Source organism: Homo sapiens, chromosome 11 (genome assembly GCF_000001405.40).
Source record: "Homo sapiens chromosome 11, GRCh38.p14 Primary Assembly".
Taxonomy (NCBI): Eukaryota; Metazoa; Chordata; class Mammalia; order Primates; family Hominidae; genus Homo; species Homo sapiens.
The window spans coordinates 113,533,795-113,556,224 of NC_000011.10; the positions used below are offsets into that span (position 1 = coordinate 113,533,795).

At 43.1% G+C, this 22,430-nt stretch overlaps 2 annotated features.

The window, feature by feature from the left end:
* Positions 6,572–7,083: an enhancer, noted in NCBI's record as "OCT4-NANOG hESC enhancer chr11:113411088-113411599 (GRCh37/hg19 assembly coordinates)". NCBI's record gives its function as "activates a minimal SCP1, AML or CMV promoter by ChIP-STARR-seq in primed H9 embryonic stem cells {active_cell/tissue: H9 hESC(primed)}" and the evidence as "EXISTENCE:reporter gene assay evidence [ECO:0000049][PMID:30033119]".
* Positions 19,921–20,422: an enhancer, noted in NCBI's record as "H3K27ac hESC enhancer chr11:113424437-113424938 (GRCh37/hg19 assembly coordinates)". NCBI's record gives its function as "activates a minimal SCP1, AML or CMV promoter by ChIP-STARR-seq in primed H9 embryonic stem cells {active_cell/tissue: H9 hESC(primed)}" and the evidence as "EXISTENCE:reporter gene assay evidence [ECO:0000049][PMID:30033119]".

A 22,430-nucleotide genomic window follows, 5' to 3' on the forward strand; every position in this document is an offset into this window, starting at 1 on the left:
GACTCACCATCATGTATCTGTGAACATCTGTGTTAAAAAGCAGCAATGAGACTAAAATATTCTGGAAATATGTACTCAGATTTTCACATTCAGATTTACACACACTTCTATAAGCCAAAACAATTTCCTATACAAACAAATGTCATTCCACATAATATCTACTGTTAATTGAGTATTTTACTATACACCAAGCATTGTGATAAGCATTTACACATGTTACCCCATTTAGTCTTCATGCAGCCTTATGAGATGGGTATAGAGACTGTGTATATCACCATCACTTTACAGGTAAGGAAACTAAACCCTAAAGATGTTAGGAATTTACCGGAGTCTCAGAGCTAATGAAGTATTGAGAAAGCACTGAACTCCATACCTGTTTGTCTCCAAAACTCCACGCTGTTAACCACTCCTCTATCTCTTCTACCTCATACAAAATCATGTAATGTTGTTTTACATAAAACTGTACATACACTCCAATATAGCTCTACTTAATTGCATTTATAATGACATAAGCATGCTCAGGAAGGGATCCCAGTAAGTCCCTGCAAGTTGTCATAAAATCAAAATTTCTATTTTTAAAAAAAGACCCTATAGAAATAGGGTCCTCTCCCAGTGTAACTTACCTAATCAACTTTACTTACAACTACTTATCATTCTAGAAACTATCATTTAGACAAAAGCAAAGCAATTAATGTATTGAAATACATTCTTGGTTTGCCTCAGCAATTTAATCTCTCAGAAAGCAGAGGTTGTGGGTAGAAGAAGGTATCTATTTGGAATCTAATTCTGCTTTAACAAGCGGCAACTGCTTAGAGAAGGAACAAAGAGAGAAATCCTGAGAAATAGTAGCCAGGTCACCTCAAAGTTCATGCTATTCACGAAGAAAAGAGCTGGGCATGGTCTTACTTGTACCTTAGTTTTTACAAGTCAGATTGCAAAATCTTCAGAGAAAAGATCGGCTGATCCCATGACCTGACACTCTCATGGCAGACAGCTCTGAAGGGATGACTTTCAAGAAAGAAATTCTGACAAGACAATTGCAAATGACTCTGATATAGAAGAAGTGTGATTGCACAGGATGAATACACACGAGTGACACAGACCTTTAAGTATAATGTCAGGAAGGCTGAAGCCCAGAATGAGCCGAAGCCAACACCACAAAAGGTCTTCTTGGGTAGAATAAGAGAAATGAGAACAAAGAAGGGCTAGATCCACCTCTCCAAGGACTAGCTGTATGACCTGGGGTGATTTTCTTAACCTCTCTGAACCTCACTCAGTTTCCTTGTCCATAAAATGGAAATAATAATTATTACACTGCAGGTTTCTTATGAGGATTACATGGAATGATGCATTAGAAAAACAAACAACAGGCTGGGCATGGTGGCTCATGCCTGTAATCCCAGCATTTTGGGAGGCTGAAGAGGGTGGATCACCTGAGATCAGGAGTTCGAGACCAGCCTGGCCAACATAGTGAAACCCCGTCTCTACTAAAAATACAAAAATTAGCTAGGTGTGGTGGTGCATGCCTGTAATCCCAGCTACTTGGGAGGCTGAGGCAGGAGAATTGCTTGAACCTGGGAGGTGGAGGTTGCAGTGAGCCAAGATGATGCCATTGCACTCCAGCCTCTGGGCAACAGAGTGAGACTCTGTCTCAAATCAAAAGAAAACAAACAAACAAAAATCTAGCACAGAAGAAGACATTCAAAAAATATAAGTTGTAAACATACGAAAAAAAGGTCATCATCACTGGTCATTAGAGAAATGCAAAACAAAACCACAATGAGACACCATCTCACACCAGTTAGAGTGACGATCATTAAAAAGTCAGGAAACAACAGATGCTGGAGAGGATGTGGAGAAATAGGAACGCTTTTACACTATTGGTGGGAGTGTAAATTAGTTCAACCATTATGGAAGACAGTGTGGCGATTCCTCAAGGATCTAGAACCAGAAATACCATTTGACCCAGCAATCCCATTACTGGGTGTATACCCAAAGGATTATAAATCATTCTGCTTTAAAGACACATGCACACGTATGTTTATTGCAGCACTATTCACAATAGCAAAGACTTGGAACCAACCCAAATGCCCATCAATAATAGATTGGATAAAGAACATATACACCATGGAATACTATGCAGCCATAAAACAGAATGAGTTCATGTCCTTTGCAGGGACATGGATGAAGCTGGAAACAATCATTCTCAGTGAACTAACACAGGAACAGAAAACCAAACACCGCATGTTCTCACTTATAAGTGGGAGTTGAATAATGAGAATACGTGGACACAGGGAGGGGAACATCACACACTGGGGCCTGCCGGGGTGTCGGGGGCAAGGGAGGGAGAGCGTTAGGACAAATACCGAATGCATGCAGGGCTTAAAACCTAGATGATGGGTTGATGGGTGCAACAAACCATCATGGCACATGTATACCTATGTAACAAACCTGCATGTTCTGCACGTGTATCCCAGAACTTAAAGTATAATAAATAAATAAATATATACATACATGTTGTCAGTTCCTTCCTGTCCATATATATATATATATATATATATAGAGAGAGAGAGAGAGAGAGAGAGAGAGAGAGAGACGGAGTTTCACCCTTGTTGCCCAGGCTGGAATGCAATGGCGTGACCTCGGCTCACTGCAACCTCCGCCTCCCAGGTTCAAGCGATTCTTCTGCCTCAGCCTCCCAAGTAGCCGGGGTTACAGGCATGTGCCACCAAGCCCAGCTAATTTTTGTATTTTTAGTAGAGACAGGGTTTCTTCATGTTGGTCAGGCTGGTCTTGAACTCCCAACCTCAGGTGATCCACCCGCCTCAGCCTCCCAAAATGCTGGGATTACAGGCATGAGCCACTGCGCCCAGCTCTGTCCCCTTAATATTAATGATTTAAAGTTAACAAAAAGCAGCCCTCTTCAGCCCCTATTTTGTTTCTACCTGTCTGTCAAGGACAGTGATTCTCAAATTAGTACATTTAAAATAAACATCGGTAAGGAGAATTTAAGAATCCAGGTAACACACCGATTGTTAAAATGAGGTCAAGGCTCTTGACCTGGAAGAATTCTATTCAACAGTTTGTGGATATCACACAGGATATGGACCTGCTGTTGGAAACCCTTGAAGAATCATCATGGATGTAGAAAGGACAAGTACATGACAGGAACACAGCAAACACTCAATTAAAATTGGTTCAAATGTTGAAAAGGGACTAGAAAAAAGCAAACGCCTTCATTTTCCAAAAGAGATACATTTGCTGGGGGCCCATCCCAGGTACAATTCTCATTAAGTAGGTGGTTTGCATGCCCTCAAGGAGAGATTCTGTGATCCACAGGGGCCACCATGGGTCCATGAAGAGCCCCTTATACCTGACATTTCTCGTTTTCTTTTCCGATAGAGTTGTCGGATGAATAGATGAAAAACAGTACCTATGGGCTCATGATCCCAGGCAGAGAAATGTGACTCAGATGATCATACAGTCAGGGGCTTTATAACTGGCAGAATGACCACATCCAAGGAGAACAATCACTAGATCAATTTAACTGGATCAATACTTGGGGTGAGGACCCTGGAGTCCTAGGCAGGGCTCTCACCTCCCCATAGATGAATTGCTGATCAGTTATAAATTGAATAAGGAGGGGCCGTTCATGTGTTGAAGAGCAGAGTCCAGATCCTGTTATACCTGCATCAGGTAAACCTGAGATCACAAAAGCAATGTCTTTTCTATAACATCTATGTTTCTCCAGGCTCCATAGTCACCCAGGCTGAAAGCATCTTCCTCTCATTCGTTCCTGGGACCAATTTGCTCACCAAATTCACTGGTTTTACCTCCTAAATATTTATCAGGTATTTCCTCTACTTTCAATCCCACCATCCCTGCGTAAATGTAAGCCCTTGTCATACTAGGTAATCATGGTCAGGGATTTGGAATCTGGTCAGAGAAAGCTGTGTTCAAATCTCAGTTTATGCTCATAGCTTATGCTGTGCAATCCTGGGCAAGTTATTAAACCTGTTGAAATTTCAGTTTCTTTGTATGTAATGTGGGCATAATAGTGACAGCTGCCTCAGAGGTTGATACAAGATTTATGAGATAATCCTTGCAAAGTATTTAGCACTGTACCTGGCACGGGATAAGTACTCAGTAAATATTGATTAATATTACTAGACAGTTGCGATAACCTCTCATCTGGTCTGTCTACCTCCAGCCCCACCTGCCTCCGTATTATCTGCCTACCATTAAAGGGAAGATAAAATCCACGATGATTCTTCCCAGAGCAAATGCCACCACAGGTACACAGATACGCACATGCACACACATACATGCATACAAACACATGCACACTCAGCATTGCCCCAGCTTAAAGACACAACTCTTTTGCCTGGTATACAGGGACCTTCTTAGCTTTTCTAAACTTGAAAATTAGCTGCTGGCTATTTCCATGGCACAGTATTTATTTCTGATCTCTGAGCTTTTGAGTAAGATGTTCCCTCTTCCTGATGTGCCCCTGCCCCTCTTGTCCTTCCAGTGACCTCCAACCCATGCATGAAAATCCAGGCAAGTGTCACCTCCTCTGGGAAGCCCACAGGTCCTCTCAGGGTGTACATGCTCTGCCCCTATTATGGACATCTCGGAGCCTCAGTGCCCTCACCTGCAAAACGGTACTTAAAACACCACTCCAGACAGTGTTGTATGAGGATTAAATGAGCTTAAAATTCATGACATTTCTGGAAGATTGGAATTCAACCAGAGTGCTGGGAAGAGCTCAGACTGTTTCATGTGATGGATGGTAGGTAGAGCTGGTATTGTTTACACAAAGGGAAGAGAGTGGGGACTTACAATGTGAGCCCCAGGAGGCAGGCACCAGATTCTATTCATTTTTGGACTCCCAAGCAAGGAGTGCTTTGCTCACAAAAGGCAACAATTGCTTGCTAAATTAAAGCCTGAATTAGAAAGTAAATAGATATCTCAGGCCACCTCTCCCTGCAATGAATGTGGGTGGTGTTTGGCCAGGAGTTATGCCACCATCACACATCTTTTCCTCCAAGTGAGAAAATCACTTTCTCAATGATTTTCCCTCATTCTGGCCAGGCAAAGATGATCACACCACCTTTATCTCTGGTTCCCAAAAGAGGAAAACAATGGGACTTGGAGGTTAGATGCCTCTCTAAGGTGGTCCAGCCTGTCACCAGCAGCCCCTGGCTTTCACTAAGGCTTACCCCGACTCGCTCACACTCTTCTTTCTGTGGACCCAGAGAGCTGTGTGGACAAGCAAGAGAAGCAGGCTCATTGCTTGTGACAGCAGAGGGGGCACAGAAGCAGCCTGGGCCATCCCAGACAGACCAGACCAGCCTCTCTCCCTCATGCCTATGGGACATTTCATAGCTGTCACCGCCCCAGGGCTTCCATCATGACCAAAGCAAAGAACCCTTTTCACCTCAGTAGCTTTGAAAAGCAGCGTCGCTAAGGCTGCCAACAGGGATTCAGCCCTGGAGATTTCTTGGAGTTGGTTTCATGGATCCAGCAAACCCTGCATCTGCTCACAGTTAAACTCACAGTTGGGTCAATGCATGCATTGCCTATAGCCCTCACTCATTAAGCTAACCTGGGCATCTCCTTTTTCTCTCTTTGGAAGCATCTCCCCAGCTCCCTATAGTTTTCAGACCGCACGAACCAGAAAATACATCATAGCAAGGCTGAAAAGGGAGACACTTGGTTAAGATCACCCAAAGTCAGCCCCAAACCCAGGCCCTGACACTCAGCCTAATGTCCTCGCCCTGCCCCACACTACCTGCCTGGATTGGCACTTGTAGTGCCCACCCCCTGAGGATAGGCTGAAACTCAGGCTTGTTTTTGAAAGTCCTGAAACCTCTACTAGCCAGGTCAGGAGCTCAGCAGGTGCCAGGGCTGCAAGTTTTAATCATGATAACTACATCTCTCTTTCCCTCCCTTTTTGCCAGGTCCTGTACATTGACTATCTCTTTGGACTCCACAAAACTTTAGGAGGCTGGTGTTATCATCTCCATCTTACAGATAAGGAAAGAAAAATTCAAAAAAGTTATGTAGCATGCCCAAGATTCCGCCTGGAAAGTGGACATCTTTCATTTCAGGGCTGTGGATGTGGCTGGGTCAGGCACTGCTTATAGTAGGAGGGGAAGAAGTCAGATTTCATCCAAATGACAAGAAGAAAACATCATCCACAAGCCCAGCTAGTGAATATGCTGCAGGCAGGGAGAAAAGAGGATCCGGAGTCAAAGACATCTCCAGGAGAAACAATGTCTGCTGCTCAGAGGAGAACAGCTGGAAGCCCAAGGCCTACTTCTATAAGGCTACTATGCCCACAGCAAAAGCATGGGTCAACCCAAGAGATCTAGGACGGCTGCAGAGAGATACACACGTCACCATGAGGCCAGAATGCACATCTTGGGTCTTCACCCAGAGGAGAAGCAGAGAAGCAGGGCCTGACAGGGCCTGAATATCCCTCTGAACCTGGTGATGAGGAGGGGCAGCTGTTCTCACATCCCACCCAAGCAGGGCCAACCAAGACCAGTGTCAGCCAAGATGCCCATGAGGCTTTAAGTCATCTTAGGATACAAATGAGATCAGCTAGTCAGCTTTTGAAATCTGTGGAGTTTTCCTTCTTTGCCTCTTAATTTTTCTCTCCAAACATGTCAACCCGTATGGGCTAAGCTAATATGAAAACATTTGTCCCTCTGAGAGAGCAGAGCTAGAGAGATCAGAGCTCCCCTAGAGGCTGGGAAAAGCCCAGCTAGGGAAGGTTCAGCCCACACACCCTGAGCACCTGTGGTGCATCAAGCCTCACTCCAGGTGCCGGGGAGTAGCTATTAGCAAGATAGAAAAGGCCTCTGATGTCATGGAGCTGACCTTCCAGAGGAAGGGACACAAATGACACAGGACTAAACAAAGACTATAGAGTGAATTCAAAGGAAGAATTGCATCCTAGGGTGGCCGTAGTGGCCTCTCTAAGGTGGTAGGGAGGGAACCTTTGGGCTGCACAAGGAGAAGGTGCCACTCTAGGAGAGCTCTAAGGAAGAGAACTCCAGGCAGAGGGAACAGCAGACACAACGGCCCTGAGACAGGACTGAGCTGGGCGTGCTGGAGGAACTGTCAGAAGGTGGGCTTTGCCAGCACCTGGGGCATATGGGGGATGGGAGCAAGATATAATAAGAGGGTAAAGAGGCAGGTAGGCTCCATGAGCACAGTGAGATCCCGAGAGAAACATCTGCTGGCTGCACCCTCAGTGCCTAGCTGAACTGAACTGGAGAGTTCAGCTGAGATTGACAAACACATGTGGGTACAGCCAGATAGGGGCCAGGCACTGGACTGGCTTGGGGCTTGAATGAACAGCCCAGTGGGGAAGACAGCCACACACACAGAACCCAAAGCCCTGTCAACATTGTCAGACTGATTGATACGTGTCCGGGGCTTTTCTCCCTCAGAACCTCAGAGCCAGACATCAAAGAGCATTTCACTGCAGAGCCCCTATCCTGGCTTCTTGCTCTTTTGTTGGTTTTTCTTTACCTGGGCCAGAACACATGGAGAGTGAAGTTGGTATTTCTCTAAGCTTGCAGTAGCCAACAGGAGGATGAATTATTGAGGTTCTATGCTTGTTAATAGCACACTCCAATCTCTGGTGTTGACAAGGCTACAGGCCACCAGGGGGTTTGTCCATTCAAGCCAAATACTTTTTAGGGACTGGCCTGGAATGCATTATAATGCTTTTGGGAGAATAGAAATGCCCTCGTTCTGTGCCAGATATTTAACCAGGAACAAAGGAAGAAGAGTGCTTGGCTCAGACTCTTTTCAAAGTATTGGACAGCCCCATGCAGGACTCCTGCAGCCTCAAGCAGACTCATGCAAACTCAAGGGGACCTACCCGGTTGTAGAGGCCCTTACAGCATCAAGATGCAGGATTCAGATGGAGGCACCCAGCATCTTTCTTCTGGGATCCACTCAGTAGTTGGTACCCAAGGTTCCTAGCCATGAAACTCCTCCTTCCCCTTTCTGGAGGCCATATAGAGTGAACTTACTATGGCTCTGCTCCCCACAGTTAAACTGAAGATTTCCTGATTTGAAAGTAATACATGTACAATGAATTTAATAATTAAACAATCAACAAGTATTCATTCTATGGCTACCAAGGGCACTTTTCTAGGCACTTTGCATACTGATTCGAACATACTGTAGAGCATGTGGAAATTAAAGAAACCTACAAAGAAGGAAAACAGTTAAAATGTTACCCATTTGCCTATCACCTAAGAAGCAGCAGAGTTAACATTTGATTTAGTACATTCCTTTCCAGACATTTATCTATACATTTTAATATGATTGAGATCATACTGTCAACCTAATTTTGTATCATGACTTTTAAATTTAACACTACATCATAATCATTTTTTCCAGCTAGGATTTCTGGCATTAACACATAGAATTTCAAGATATCCAGTTAAAATGGAATTTCATAGAAATGACAAATAAATTTTAGTATAAGTATATCCCAAATATTACATGGAATAGACACCAAAAAATTATTTCTTGTTTCTACTGAATTTCAAATTTAACTGGTGTCCTGGGTTGTATCTGGCAACCTTTGGTTAAATATTCACAGGAGGCTTCATCTCTAGCCTCATCTTTGCCACCTGACTCCTTCTCTCATTCTGTTCAAACACACAGACCTTGAACAGGTCGCGCTGCACCTGCCACAGGGCCTTGACACTTGCTCCCCTTCTGCTTGGATGCCCATCCCCTTGATATCTAACTCCCTTATTCACTTCCCTCAGAGCTCTGTTCAAATGTCAACTTATCAACAGGTGTCCTCTGGCCACTCTACTGAAAATAACATTCTCCATCTCTCTCCATCCCTCATATCCTGTCTAACCAGAATAAATGCTTTGTTCACAGCATTTGTTCCTGCATGTAACATGCTATATTTAATTCCCTACTGTCTGGCTCTACCTCTTAGGGTAAAGATCCCTGAGAACAAGGACTTTATCTGTTTGAATTTCATTTTTCTTTTGTTTTACCACCATATCCCCAGTGTGTAGAACAGCACCCGGCACATCGTAGGTGCGCTAGGAATACTTGTTAAATGAATGGACACGTGAGTGTGCATGCATGTCTCTGGTTATTGATTCTATCCGATTGAATCATCAGTCTATTCCTGAACCATACTGATTTAATTATTGTGGCTGCATGAGCACTTTTTAATATCTGATAGAACCACTTCTCTCAGTAATCTTTTATACTTTTTCTCCTTGGTGATTTTTGAGTGATTATTCTCCCACCTAAATTTAGAGTCATAAAAATGGCAAACAATTATAGATATGATAATTTGCCACTTAGCAAATATAGCCTGCACTATGCACCAGGCCTGCTCTAAGCACTTTCTATGCATTAACCATGTAATCCTCACAGCAAACCTGTAAGGGAGGTGCTATACTTACTGCACTTTCCAGATGAGGAAACTGAGATGTAAATAACTTCTGTGAGGTCACACAGCTGGTAAGTGGCAAGGCGAATATCTAACCCCGTCTGGCTTTAGAGGCCATCCTGTGAAGCACCCTTCTTGCTGCCTTCTTATTCATTTTATTTTGCTGCCGTAACAAATTACCACAAACTTAGCAGCTGTAAAATAATACATGTTTGTTATCTCACAGTTCCACTAATCAGGAATCTGGGCTCCAGGTTAGGTGGATCGGCTCAGGCCTCACAAGCTGAAATCAAGGTGTCAGTTGGGCTACAATTCTCCTCTGAGGCTGGACTCTTCTTCCAAGCTCACCAGTTCCTGGACACATGCCCCTCAATAGCATAGCTACTGGCTGCTTCCTAGAAACCAATAGGAGCGTAACTCTCTCAGACTTTCTCTCCTGCCACTGGCCAGAGAAAACACTCTTCTTTTAAAGGGCTCACCTGATTGCAACATGCTCACTCAAATAATCTCTGTGTTGGAAGTTCAGCTGACTTGGGACTTCGTTTGCATCTGCTAAGCACCTTCACAGCAGTGTCTGGATTCAACTGATTGAATAACCAGGTGCCATTTTTAGAATTCTGCCTACTACCATCTTTTCGTGGGGGTGTTATTATTATTTAGGTATGGCAAGGCCAACAGATGAGGAAACAACCACCACTGAAAATAGTTGATTATACTCAGAGATGCCACATGGGAAGTACCAGGGTTGGTCAGGAGGCAGAGGGAGAGCTGGGCCTAAGAGCAAGAGCCTTGACCGTGATTCCTGTGGAAAGGAATGGGTGGGGCAGGGTAAGCAGGGTTAGGATTGGCTATTTTGAATAATTTCACAGGTTCTGGGAGCATAAGAACTGTCCTGAGTTGTCCAGTACCTGGCCCTGGGGTGATGAGGGTGGGTGGTTAATGACCCAGAGTGTGAGAGTCCAATAAAGAAGGTCATTTGGTGTGAAGACTCTGGATCAAGTTGGTTTACACTTAAAAGCACCCTCTCAACCATGTTGTTTATTATCTTGAGGAATTGGCTAACCTTGGGAGGAGGAATCCCTCCAGGGTCAGCAAGGCTTCAGAGGTCAAAGAATACCGGAAATGAACGGCACGGTTAACACACACAGCTGCCTCATTTGGTCAGGTTGATCCATCCCTTTCTCCCATCTCCCATCCCCAAAGGAGAAAACAACTCTTTGTCCCTTTGGTTCACATTGTTTTAAAAGTACAAAGCAACTTAGGAAGAACTGACACCTTTATGACAGTCTTTCCTTCCAGGAACATAGTATACCTCTCCATTTATTCAAATCTTTTATGACTCTCAGTAAAGTTTTGTATTTTTCTCTAAATAAATTCTCACTTCTTTTTATGGTTATCCCAGGTATTTTATGGGTTTTACTGCTATTATGAATGGAATTTTCTCCTATATTTTCTAGTATATTCTACTATATTTTTTACACTTTACTACATTTTCTGTACTTTTACTCTGTTTTCTAATTATTAGTAATTGCTGATATATTGGAACTATAATAATTTTTTACAGCTTTATGGTATATAATTGAGCTACAATAAACAATGTGAGATTGTTTATCTGTCCCTACCACCTTATTTTATTTGCTGCAATTATTTGTGTGTGATCAAAGTACATATTTAAAGCATGAATTTGATAAGCTTGACATATGTCTACACCTATAAAACTATCCCCACATGAGGACAGTGACCAAATCTATTACCCCCAAACCTTCCTCCTGCCCTATAGTAATCTTTCCCTCCCAACCCTCCCACATATTCTCAGGCAACAACTGATCTGATTTCTGTCACTACAGATTTTCATACTGTTTCAGATTTTCAGCTACTAAATTGTGACGTTATTTTTCATCATTTTTCAATTTATTCATGAGTTTTCTACTATGCAAACAGATCATCAATATATAATAACAATTTCATCTCCTCCTTTCAAAATTATATGATCTAATTCTAGTTCGTGCACAGTGGATCAGCAAGAATTTCCAGAATAATGCTAAATCACCACAGTGATTTTTGTGTCCTCCTTGATTTAATTAGAATGATTTCAGTGTTTGGGTGCCTGTTAAACTGTTGGTGTAGTTTTAATGAAAAACAAGCCATTATCCAGAATGAGGTCTTGGAACACAGAGAGCAAGTTATGTGACCAGACAGCATCACTCCTTCTAACCCTGGATTCATTTACTTACTTGCCTGGTCACCTGTCTTGTCATTTCCAGCCTGTTTTAATCATTCACCCCTCTGTGTTTGGTATATATATTTATTAAGGCACTGCTCACAGGTATAACTAGTTTTTACCTGTGTTCCTTCATCACCAGACTACGAACTAAAGCAGAAATGGTACCTTTTTCATCTGATTGGGCAAAACATCTTGCATATTCTAGGTACTTCATAAATGTTTATTAAATTGAATGCAACTATAGTAATGTTTACCTAAAAACATATCTCCCAAACCTGCATATACAGCAGTCCCCCTTTATCCATGGTTTCGCTAGGCAAGGTTTCAGTGACTTGCAGTCAACCGAGGTCTGAAAATATTAAATGGAAAATTCCAGAAATGTTATTCCTAAGTTTTAAATCATGCGTCATTCTGAGAAGCATGATGAAAACTCATGCTGTCCCTTTCTGTCCCACTCAGGACTACATTAACCCCCGCAGCCCACCCCATGGTTCCCAGGTTTGACCATCACAGTATCACAGTGCTTGTGTCCAAGTCATCCTTATTTTACTCTATGGCCCAAAGTGCAAGAGTAATGATGCTGTCAATTCAGATATGCCAAAGAAAAGCTGTAAAATGCTTCCTTTAAGTGAAAAGGTGGAAGTTCTCAACTGAATAAGGAAAGAAAAAAATCGTAGGCTGAGGTTGCAAAGATCTATAGTAAGAATAAGTCTATCTTTGAAAATGTGAAAAAGGAAAAAGAAATCCATGCTAGTTTTGCTGTCGCACCTCAAACTGCAAAAGTTTGTGCATAATAAGTGGTTAGTTAAACTTTATCATAGGTACCTATGTACTTATAAGAAAAAAACATAGTATATATAGGGTTCGATACTACTTGCAGTTTCAGGCATCCACTGGGGTCTTAGAATATATGTACTCCCGAGGATAAAGGGAACTAGTGTACATCAGAATCACCTTACTAAATTAGTTGGGGGAAGAAAGCAAAAAGAAGTTTTATTTTTAAAATATTAGTCAATGAAGAAAAAAATAAGAATACATCTTACTAGGTTCCATCATATACTCCTTAAATCAGAATTTCTATCCTGGAAGCCTGGAATCTGTATTTTTGATAACCTCCCAGATGATCCTTATCCAGCCAGCCTTGCTTGGGCTAATAATCAGTTTGGAGAATCATTGTCATAAAGAAACCAAGGAAAGCTAGGAGCAAAGCCCCCTTACATTATGAAATGCTAGCGCTAAAGGCATTCTAAAGCTCTATTCCACCCCTACATTTTTCAGTGGGTGAAACCTCTGAAAAGCAAAAAGCTTTGCCTAAAACACTTGAAGTCACCCTCGTTACTCAGACAAAAGCTGGGTCCCAAAGGATCTGTTTCCTCAGTACCACCGGTCCTCCCAGGAACTTCACCACCCTTGGCAGGAATTAATGACCCAAGATCTTGGGAGAATCTTCATCTTCCCAGCCCCAGCATACATAGCCATGAGCAACAGGGACAGCCAGGAAGCATGTGGAGAGTAATTCCTTTTGGAGGGATACAATGACTATAAACCAAACCAAAACTTTCAGCCAAATGGTTGAATTTGAGTTCTGAAATAATTCAAACTCTTGAGAAAGTTATAAACAAACATGAAGCCAGACAGCAGGTGATAATTCTCTGGGCCACCTCTGTCAGATGCATTATTTATAAGATGGGGAATATATTTTGTGCATTTTTCTTCCTAGATAATTCAGTAAAAACCACAAGGCAAACAAAATAGTTCCTACCATTGGGTTTCCAACATCATCAGCCTTGCAATCCATCCTGACTCACTTCCCTAGGTCTTCCAGGCGTGCCCACCACAGGGAAGATTCCCAAGCACTACTGGAAGGCAAAGACCCTCAGGACAGGAGAGGAAGTTGTGAATCATCTGGTGTAGCCTCCTTTGCTGGCAGTAAACCAGCAAAGCAGTGGCTAAGCTGAGATAAGGGCAATCTTAGGCTCTAAGCAGTGCTCATGCCACCCCTTACGATTGTATACTAAATTTTATACGCTTTATTTCTGGGGAAAGGTCTTTGGGTTTCATCAGACTTGCGAAGAAGCCCCTGCCCCACAGTGGTTTTAAGAGTCACTTTCCGGAAGCGTGTAACTCCCCACCACTCCTATCCTCTCCCACTGCCTCCACCCAGCCTCCCTCACCTGTTGGCTGAATCCCACCTTCCCACTTGTCCTACTGGCTCTGGGTGTGATCTGCTCTCCATGCTGATGCCAGTAGGCTGTTTCTAATATGCAAACCTGCCGGCATCACTGTCCTGACTACAGGACCAAACCACTGGGATAAAAACCCAAACTAAGTATACCATACACGGTCCTCTACATCCTGGCCCTTTGTTGTCTTTGTGGCCTCAAATCTCACTATTTTGCTACTTTTCTCACCTAGAGTGAAGGCTTGGGCCTCACTGGGGAGATTTGAATCCACATGTGCCTGGCATCAAAGCACAGGCTCTTTGAATGACAAAAGCATGTCCCATACTAGTGAGGAAAGCCTCTTCATGTCTGTCTCGACCCACAGTATATACCCAGCAGATGCTTTTTTTTTTTTTTTTTCTGAGACAGAGTCTCACTCTGTCGCCCAGCCTGGAGTGCAGTGGCACAATCTTGGCTCACTGCAACCTCTGCCTCCCAGGTTCAAGTGATTTGCCTCGCCTCCTGAGTAGCTGGGACTACAGGCACACGCCACCACACCTGGCTAATTTTTGTATTTTTAATACAGACGGAGTTTCACCACGTTGGCCAGGATGGTCTCGATCTCCTGACCTCGTGATCCACCCGCCTCAGCCTCCCAAAGTGCTGGGATTACAGGCGTGAACCACAGCACCCAGCTACCCAGCAGATGCTTTCTTAACCCCAATGAAGACCCTCAGCTCTGACGGTACACACAGGCTTTCTCTAGCAATGGGAACTTGATGTGATTCATTCTAGTACTTAGAATTCAACTGTCATGTGTTAGGCATGAAGTTTGCCCCAGCTAGTGTGCCAAGTGCTCAGACATGCTAGTTTTGCTGTCGTACCTCAAACTGCAAAAGTTTGTGCATAATAAGTGCTTAAACTTTATCATAGGTACCTATGAACTTATAAGAAAAAACATAGTATATATAGGATTCGGTACCATCTGCAGTTTCAGGCATCCACTGGGGGGTCTTAGAATGTACATACCCCCAAGGGTAAAGGGGGACTAATGTAAATTAGAATTACCTTACAAAATTAATTGTGGGAAGAAAGCAAAAAGAAATTTTATTTTTAAAGAGGCTTTTAAACTATTAGTCAATGAGGAAAAAATAAGGATACATCTTACTAAGTGCCATCCTATACTCCTTAAATTACAATTTCTATCTTGGAAGCCTGGAATCTGTATGAATAAAGCATAGCCCCCAATTATTAGCCACCAGGAAAATCAAAACCACAATGAGATACCACTTAACACCCACTAGGGTGGCTATAATAAAAACAACAGAGAACAACACGTGTTGGTGAGGGTGAGGAGAGCCTGAGACACTGCCAGTGAGAATGTAAATGGCACTTCAGTCACTTTGGGACCGAAGGTCCAAAAGAGGTATCATATAACCCAGAAATTTCACTCCTGCCTATACAAGAAAAATGAACATGCATGTCCATACAAACACTTGCACATGAATAATATAGCAGCATTCTTCCCAATTAAAAAAAAGTAGAAACAATATCAATATCCAACAACTGATGAATGCATAAGTCAATGCAGTATATCAATACAATGGAATGTTACTCAGCAATAAAAAGGAATGAAGTATTGATACATGTTAAGACATGAAAGTACCTTGCAAACATTACGTTAAGTGGAAGAAGCTGGTCATAAAAGACTACATATTATATGATTCCGTCTACATTAAATATCCAGAATAGTCAAATGTATAAAGATACGAAGAAGATTAATGGTGGTGTAGGTCTGGGGAGGGGGCAGGAGGATTATTGGTCAGCAATTGGGAGGGACTGCTAAAGAGGATGGCATTCCTTTTGGGAACAATGAAAATATTCTAAAATTGATTGTAATGACGGTTTCACAACTCTGTGAATGTACTAAAGATCATTGAATTACACCTTTGAAATGAATGAATTGTATGGCATGTAATTCTATCTGTGGTTTTAAAAACACCACCCAGCTCCCACTGTCAATGAACCCTTAGTCTAGGCAGCTCCCCAGGGTGACTAGCTTGTTTGGTTTGCCCAGGACTTGCCCAGTTTTAGCACTGAAAACCTCACACCCAAGGAAATCTGTCAATCCCAGGCAAACCAAGACAATTGGTCACCCTACTGGAACTGCACCCACCCATTCTCAGCAGGGACTTCAAGGGCAGAAGACAGCCAGCTAGCCACCCACAGACACTCTGAAGCCAAATGTGGCCACGATCTCTACACAGAGGAGACGGGAAGCTGAGCATGTGGCCCTCTCAGGGAGGAAGGAGAAGTGACTCCTCCCAGACCTGGGCTGAACTGACCCCACAGCAGGCTGGTCACTTGGAGTGAACTTGTGGCCAGATAGTAACACTGCCCTCCCCGCCGACCCCACACACACACAATCCCCCTTAGGTGCTGGCATAATTGAGGGCACAGGGCAGCTGGTTCCCACTCTCTCTGAGTCCTGATTTTTTAAACTCATACAATTATTGTAATCCCACACTCTGCTTTGTCATGCCTTTAGTCCTTCCTTTGAGAACTCCCCTCCTACTCTCAACAGCCTGGGCTGAGGGCTTTCCAAACAGCAGATCTCGGAGGCTTAATGGTGTTTGGTCTTTCTAAAGCACTTGTAATCACCTCTCCTTTCTATGATCCAATTTCAAATGTGACAAATGTAGTTCAGCCCAACCTGAGTGCCTCTAATTGCTACTAAAGGCTGACAGGGGGAAGGCTGGATAGTCTCATCAGCCATGGAAGATAGAGCACTAGCCAGAGGCAGGATTCCATCCCTTGCATCCAGACAGGACTGGCCTGCACCTGAGCCCCTAACCTACTAGGGCAGAGATCACTTGGAAGTTCCTCTCTTTCTGCCACCTTTCAGCAATGCGGCCATTTTCACAACTACTGTCAAATTGTCTTATGACAGCACCAGGTAATTCTCTCTAAATGGTTCTGGGGTATGTATTATTTATTGTGAGTCTACCATGAGCAAAAAAAAATAACAGCCATCTTTAAAATTTTAGTTCACAGTTACTCTTCACACGACAGCCAGAGTTTCTTTTCTTTTTCTTTCTTTCATTTTTTTTTTTTTTAATTAGTGACAAGGTCTCACTCTGTCACCCAGGCTGGAGTGCAATGGTATGATCACAGCTACACTGCAGCTTCTAACTCCTGGACTCATTGGATCCTCCTGCCTCAGCCTCCCAAGTACTGGAACTATAGGTGCATAGCACCATGCCTGGATACTTTTTAAATTTTTTGTAGAGGTAGGGGTCTTGTTATGTTGCCTAGGCTGGTCTTGAACTCTTAGGCTTAAGTGATCCTCCTGCCTTGGCCTTCCAAAGTGTTGGGATTGCAGGCATGAGCCACCATGTCTGGCCCCAGAATTGTTTTAAAGCATACATCAGATCCTGTTACATCCCTACTCGAAGCTCTCCATTGGCATCCCACTACCTTTAGAACAAAATCCTGGGTTCTCTTCACAGCCCCAACCCTGGCTGTTCCTCCAGCCTCACATGCTACCCGCTTCCTCAGCTCCAGCCACCCTGGCCTACAAGTCTTCTTTGAACATACCACACATGCTGCGTCTTCAGGGCCTTTGTACATTCTGCCTCTCTGATGCTCCAGATTTGTTCCCCCAGAGATTCCTGTGTCTCTTCCCTCACTTCCTTCAGGTCTCTTCTCAAATGTCACCTCCTTAAGCAGGCTTCCCTGACCATCCCACTACATTAAGTAGTCCTCTTCCATTATCCTTCATCCCTTTATTCTGCTTTATTTTTCTTCATTGCATTCATCATTATATTAAATATTTGTTTGCTTATTTGCCAACAACTTCCTGCTGCCAGAACATAAGCTCCATGAAAGCAGGGATACGTCTGTCTATTCTGCCCAGAATAATGCCTAGTGTCTATATCACAAGTGCTCAGATAATATTTATCAAATGACCAGTTACTCACCCTCCTTTATGAGGTGTCAACCTATCTCCACTTTACAGGTGAGGAAACTGAGGCACAGAAAGGTTCTATTACTAGTCCCAAATCATGTAACTAGAATGTGGCAAATATAGACTGTGAACTAAAATCTCTCTGACGCCAAACTCGGTGTTCTTTCTATCGTACCACACTGCCTCTCTTCTGAAACACAGTCCTTTGTGAAACCATGTGGGAAGGGAGCTTAAAAAGGGAAGAGACTCCTCGGAGAAATAAGGAACCTGCACCCTCCTTCTCCACCTCCAGTTCTCAGCTGATGTTTTGTGACATTGAAATTGGGGCAATACCAGCTAGAAACATTTATTGATTTCAAAGCCAAGAACACTCTAAGTGCAGTATTAAGGCAATTCCATCCTAGAATTGAAATTTCTGGTGGCAGAAAAAAAAGTTAAAGCAAATCTCAAGGTGACAGCAATTATAGTATTTAGAGTTTAAGTCCTTTTTGGAAGAAGGCTGGAAAGTAATGGAGCAATGAATGAACCATTAGTGTAAAATTCAAAACCAAACAAAGTCAATTCATGGCCTAGTACAAAACTTCAAAGAAGTTCCAGAAAATCAATTAGCTGTTGGTTATTACACAGAGCAGTAAACCTCATGTGAGTATTTCAGAGACAATTAAAAGTATCAGGAGTATAAACAACTCAGAGTTCAACCAGACCAAGAATTAGCAAACTTTTCTGCAAAGGGGCAGGTAGTAGATATTTTAGGCTTTCAAGCTATATCATCTCCACAACTACTCAACCCTGCAGTTGGGGTGCAAAAGCAGCTGCAGCAATATGTAACCAAGTGAGCATGGCTGTGTTTCAATAAAACTTTATACACAAAAACAGGTGGTGGGCCAGATTCCACCCATGGGCTGTGTATAGTTTGCCGACTGCTGATCTAGAACAATGTGCTTCTGTGACAAATGAAGTAACAAAGACATGGACAGATGAAATGACTGTCGCAGCCAGTTATGAAAGAGAGAAAAGAGAAAGTCATTTAACATTCATTCAACAAAGCTTTATTAAGCATGTATTAGATCCAGGCTATTCTAAACACAGGAGAGGCAATGATAAAAGAAAGAAAGAAAGAAAAAGAGGTTTTCTGGGTGAGATTCCTGAGACTTCACATTCCAGCAAGGGCAGCAGGCAGTAAAACAAAACAAATAAATAAATAAACATAAATGAATGAGAGGCCAGGTGCATTGGCTCATGCCTATAATCCCAGCACTTTGAAAGGCTGAAGCAGGCAGATAGCTTGAGTCCAGGAGTTCGAGACCAGCCTGGGCAGCATGGCAAAACTCTGCCTCTACAAAAAAATACAAAAATTAGCCTGGCATGGTGGCACGTGCCTGTAGTCCCAGCTACTTGGGATGCTGAAGCAAGAGGATCATTTAAGCCTGGGATGCAGAGGTTGCAGTGAGCTGAGATCCTGCCATTGCACTCCAGCTTGGGTGACAGAGCAAGACCCTGTCTCAAAAAACATAAAAAAATAAAATAAGCAAATGAATAAGATACCATCAGGCAGCAATAGTGCTATGACTATAATGAAAACGAAATGTGGCAGGAGGCGGTTTTGGGCATGGGGGTGGGGTAGCAATTAAATCGGTTGTCAAGGAAGAATGGAGCCCAAACATAAATGACAAAAAGTTGCCATCCATGGAGAGATCACATCTAGTAAGCTCATGGCACGTGCACTCAAGCTTCCCAGGCTGTTTCTTGCAGATGTGGAAACCGAAGCTACAAGAGCAGCAGGATTGGTGTGGTCCGGAAGGATTCCTGTGGTGTGGCATGGTCCGGGAGGATTCCCAAGTCAGTTCTCTCTGGCTCCAAAGCTTAGACTCTTTCTTTCACACCCGCACATTCCAGTCGTTTCACAGAAGGATGACTCAGAAATTCCCTCAGAAATTTAAAACACCGTCTTAGTCTGAAGTGTTTGGTTTGGGGCTGGAACACATACTAAAATTTTGACTAGATATTACAGCATCAAAAACTGCTCTGATGACCAGATGACTGAAATTATTAAATTTTGCACTTTAAAGAATGAACTAGTCTTTTTTCTTAAAATATTTCATATTTTATTTCTAAAGGAGATAAAAGAGAAGCTTTCAGCCTGCTACTTTCAAGCATCTCATCTGCAGACAAAATCTTCATGCATAATATTTATTCCCAATAAATGAAAAACCAAAATGAAATGCACTTTTTCTGTTTTAATATTGGTTTTTGAAGTACTAGAGACACGTTGATATGCTATATGAGAATTTTGAGTAGCTACATGCAGCTTGCTGATTTGTTCAAGGTGATTGTGAGGCAAACAATTCTCATTGTCTTTTTTTAATTTCAATGTGAGTGTTCCTTATACTTCCTCTCTTCAACCAGTGATCCATTAGGAGTAAAAATTAAACAAAATATGACTAATCATAGGAACAGTTCCACCCACTGGGGGGCGTTCACACCCACCAGAGCATGGAGTGGTGTTTAGCTGAAGGACAGACCCCTACATATGCTCACTCCATATGCACCTGCAGCAACCCAACTGTTCCTTTTAGAGGGAAGAGAATATTTAAATAAGCATTCTGTTCATTGACTGTTATGAGCTAGGAGACAGGGACTTTAAATGTCTTTAATGAGAAGGCCCAACCCTATTGCTCAGGCCCAGGCCCAGCTGGCGGTGAGTGAGGCTTAGAGGATGAAAAATATAAAGAGGCACCACTCTCAGGGCTGACCCCACACAGGAGCAATTCTGAGAGTGGGTGCTGCCTTAAGATATAGGAGTTAAAAACAAATTATTTAGGCAGATAGTGAGGGTAAGGAAGTCCTCACTAAGGTTTTCCTTTTAATGAAAAGCAGCCCCAAAATCATTTTCTTTTCTAACAAAGAGCAGCCTGTAAAATCGAGCTGCAGACATAGAAAGGGAAGCTGGAAGTTTGCACGGGTGAATGCCGGCAGTTATGTCAATAGAAATAGGCTACCTGGGACTAGGCATGATCAAAATTTGGCTCCATCTTCCTGTCTCTTTGCCAGCCACATGTACAATAAGGAGCAGGCAAGATCCTGGCCAAGTGGAAAGCCCATTTGCATAATAAGATCAGGGTGGGGCTACCAGCCTTTCACTTCGTGCTATGTATATGTCACACCTTGTGGAACTAATCTGTGGGCCCTATGTAAATCAGACACCACCTGCTCAAGCCTGCCTATAAAATCTGCTGTGGTATGCCTCAGGCCAGTTTTTCCCTTTCAGATGCCCAGATGTCCATCTCTCTCCTTTCTTCTGCCTATTAGACTTTCTGCTCCTTAACCCATCCATGTGTGTCCGTGTCCCTAATCTTCTTGGCGCCAAATGACGAACCCCAGGTATTTACCCCAGACAATGATGCTGCTTCACTTATGTTTTGTACCCTACTCACCTCCCCCAGGGCCTGGTCCCATCCCCCTACACCTCCCCACACCACCCCCCACCCCCAACACACACACAAACTGCAACTCAATCTTTCCATAAGTCAGTGGTTAGAAATAAAACAGCTGCTTGCTCCTAAAACCTCCCAAACCAGAGCTGCATTGAACTTGCTGGGCCTGTGATGGGGGTTTGTGCACTGGGTGCTGGTGCTCTTGGCTTGTGTTGGCTCATGTTAGTCACCACCACCTGTGTCTCTCTGATGTTGGGTTTTACTGTATCCTTATGATAACTTGGGTGTTAACAAAAAAGTTTTCTTTTTTTTTTTTTTTCCAAGAAATTCTCTTTTATCTTGCAGAAAGAAAAGCACTTTAGGAGGAAAACTCAAAACAACAGACGTCACTGATGGTTGAGACTCCCCTACAACTGAAACCAGTTTTTAAATGATGGCTCTCTTAAGCCAGAAGGAATTCCCAGAGGCCCTCAGGTCCAGCCTCCAGCATCCAGCTAATTGTAGCTCAGCAGCTGCATCTCGGGCTGGGCAGCAGGGAGCTGCTGCTTCCTCCTTGCAGTATACTGGGAAGTCTGTGTCACTGCAGAATGCAGGAAATAATATTTACCTTATACATTTGACAGGTTGTTAGGAAGACCTGAATAAAGTAATCTACATTGTACTACTTGAGCGCTATAAAATGAAAGAAGTTACTTAAAATCTCTAGGAGTAGGCGGGCGCAGTGGCTCATGCCTGTAATCCCAGCACTTTGGGAGGCCAACGCAGGTGGATCACTTGAGGTCAGGCATTCAAGAGCAGCCTGGTCAACATGGCAAAATCCCATTTCTATTTTAAGAAATTACAAAAAATTAGCTGTGCATGGTGGCATGTGCCTATAATTCCAGCTACTTGGGAGGGTGAGGTGGGAAGATCGCTTGAGCCTGAGAGGTGGCAGTTGCAGTGAGCCAAGATAGCGCCACTGCTCTCCAGCCTGGACAACAGAGTGAGACTCTGTCTCAAAAAATATATATAAAATAATAAAATAAAATCTCTAGGAGTAGTTAAACTTTACATCTCTTCATTACTATTTCAGCATATAGTCAACTGTGTGGAGAAAGTTTCTCCCTACTTCTAATTAGCTTCCCGTGCTGCATATCTTATCTGTCCTCTGAAGGTAGATAAAACCATGTTTGAATCCAAACTCCACCAT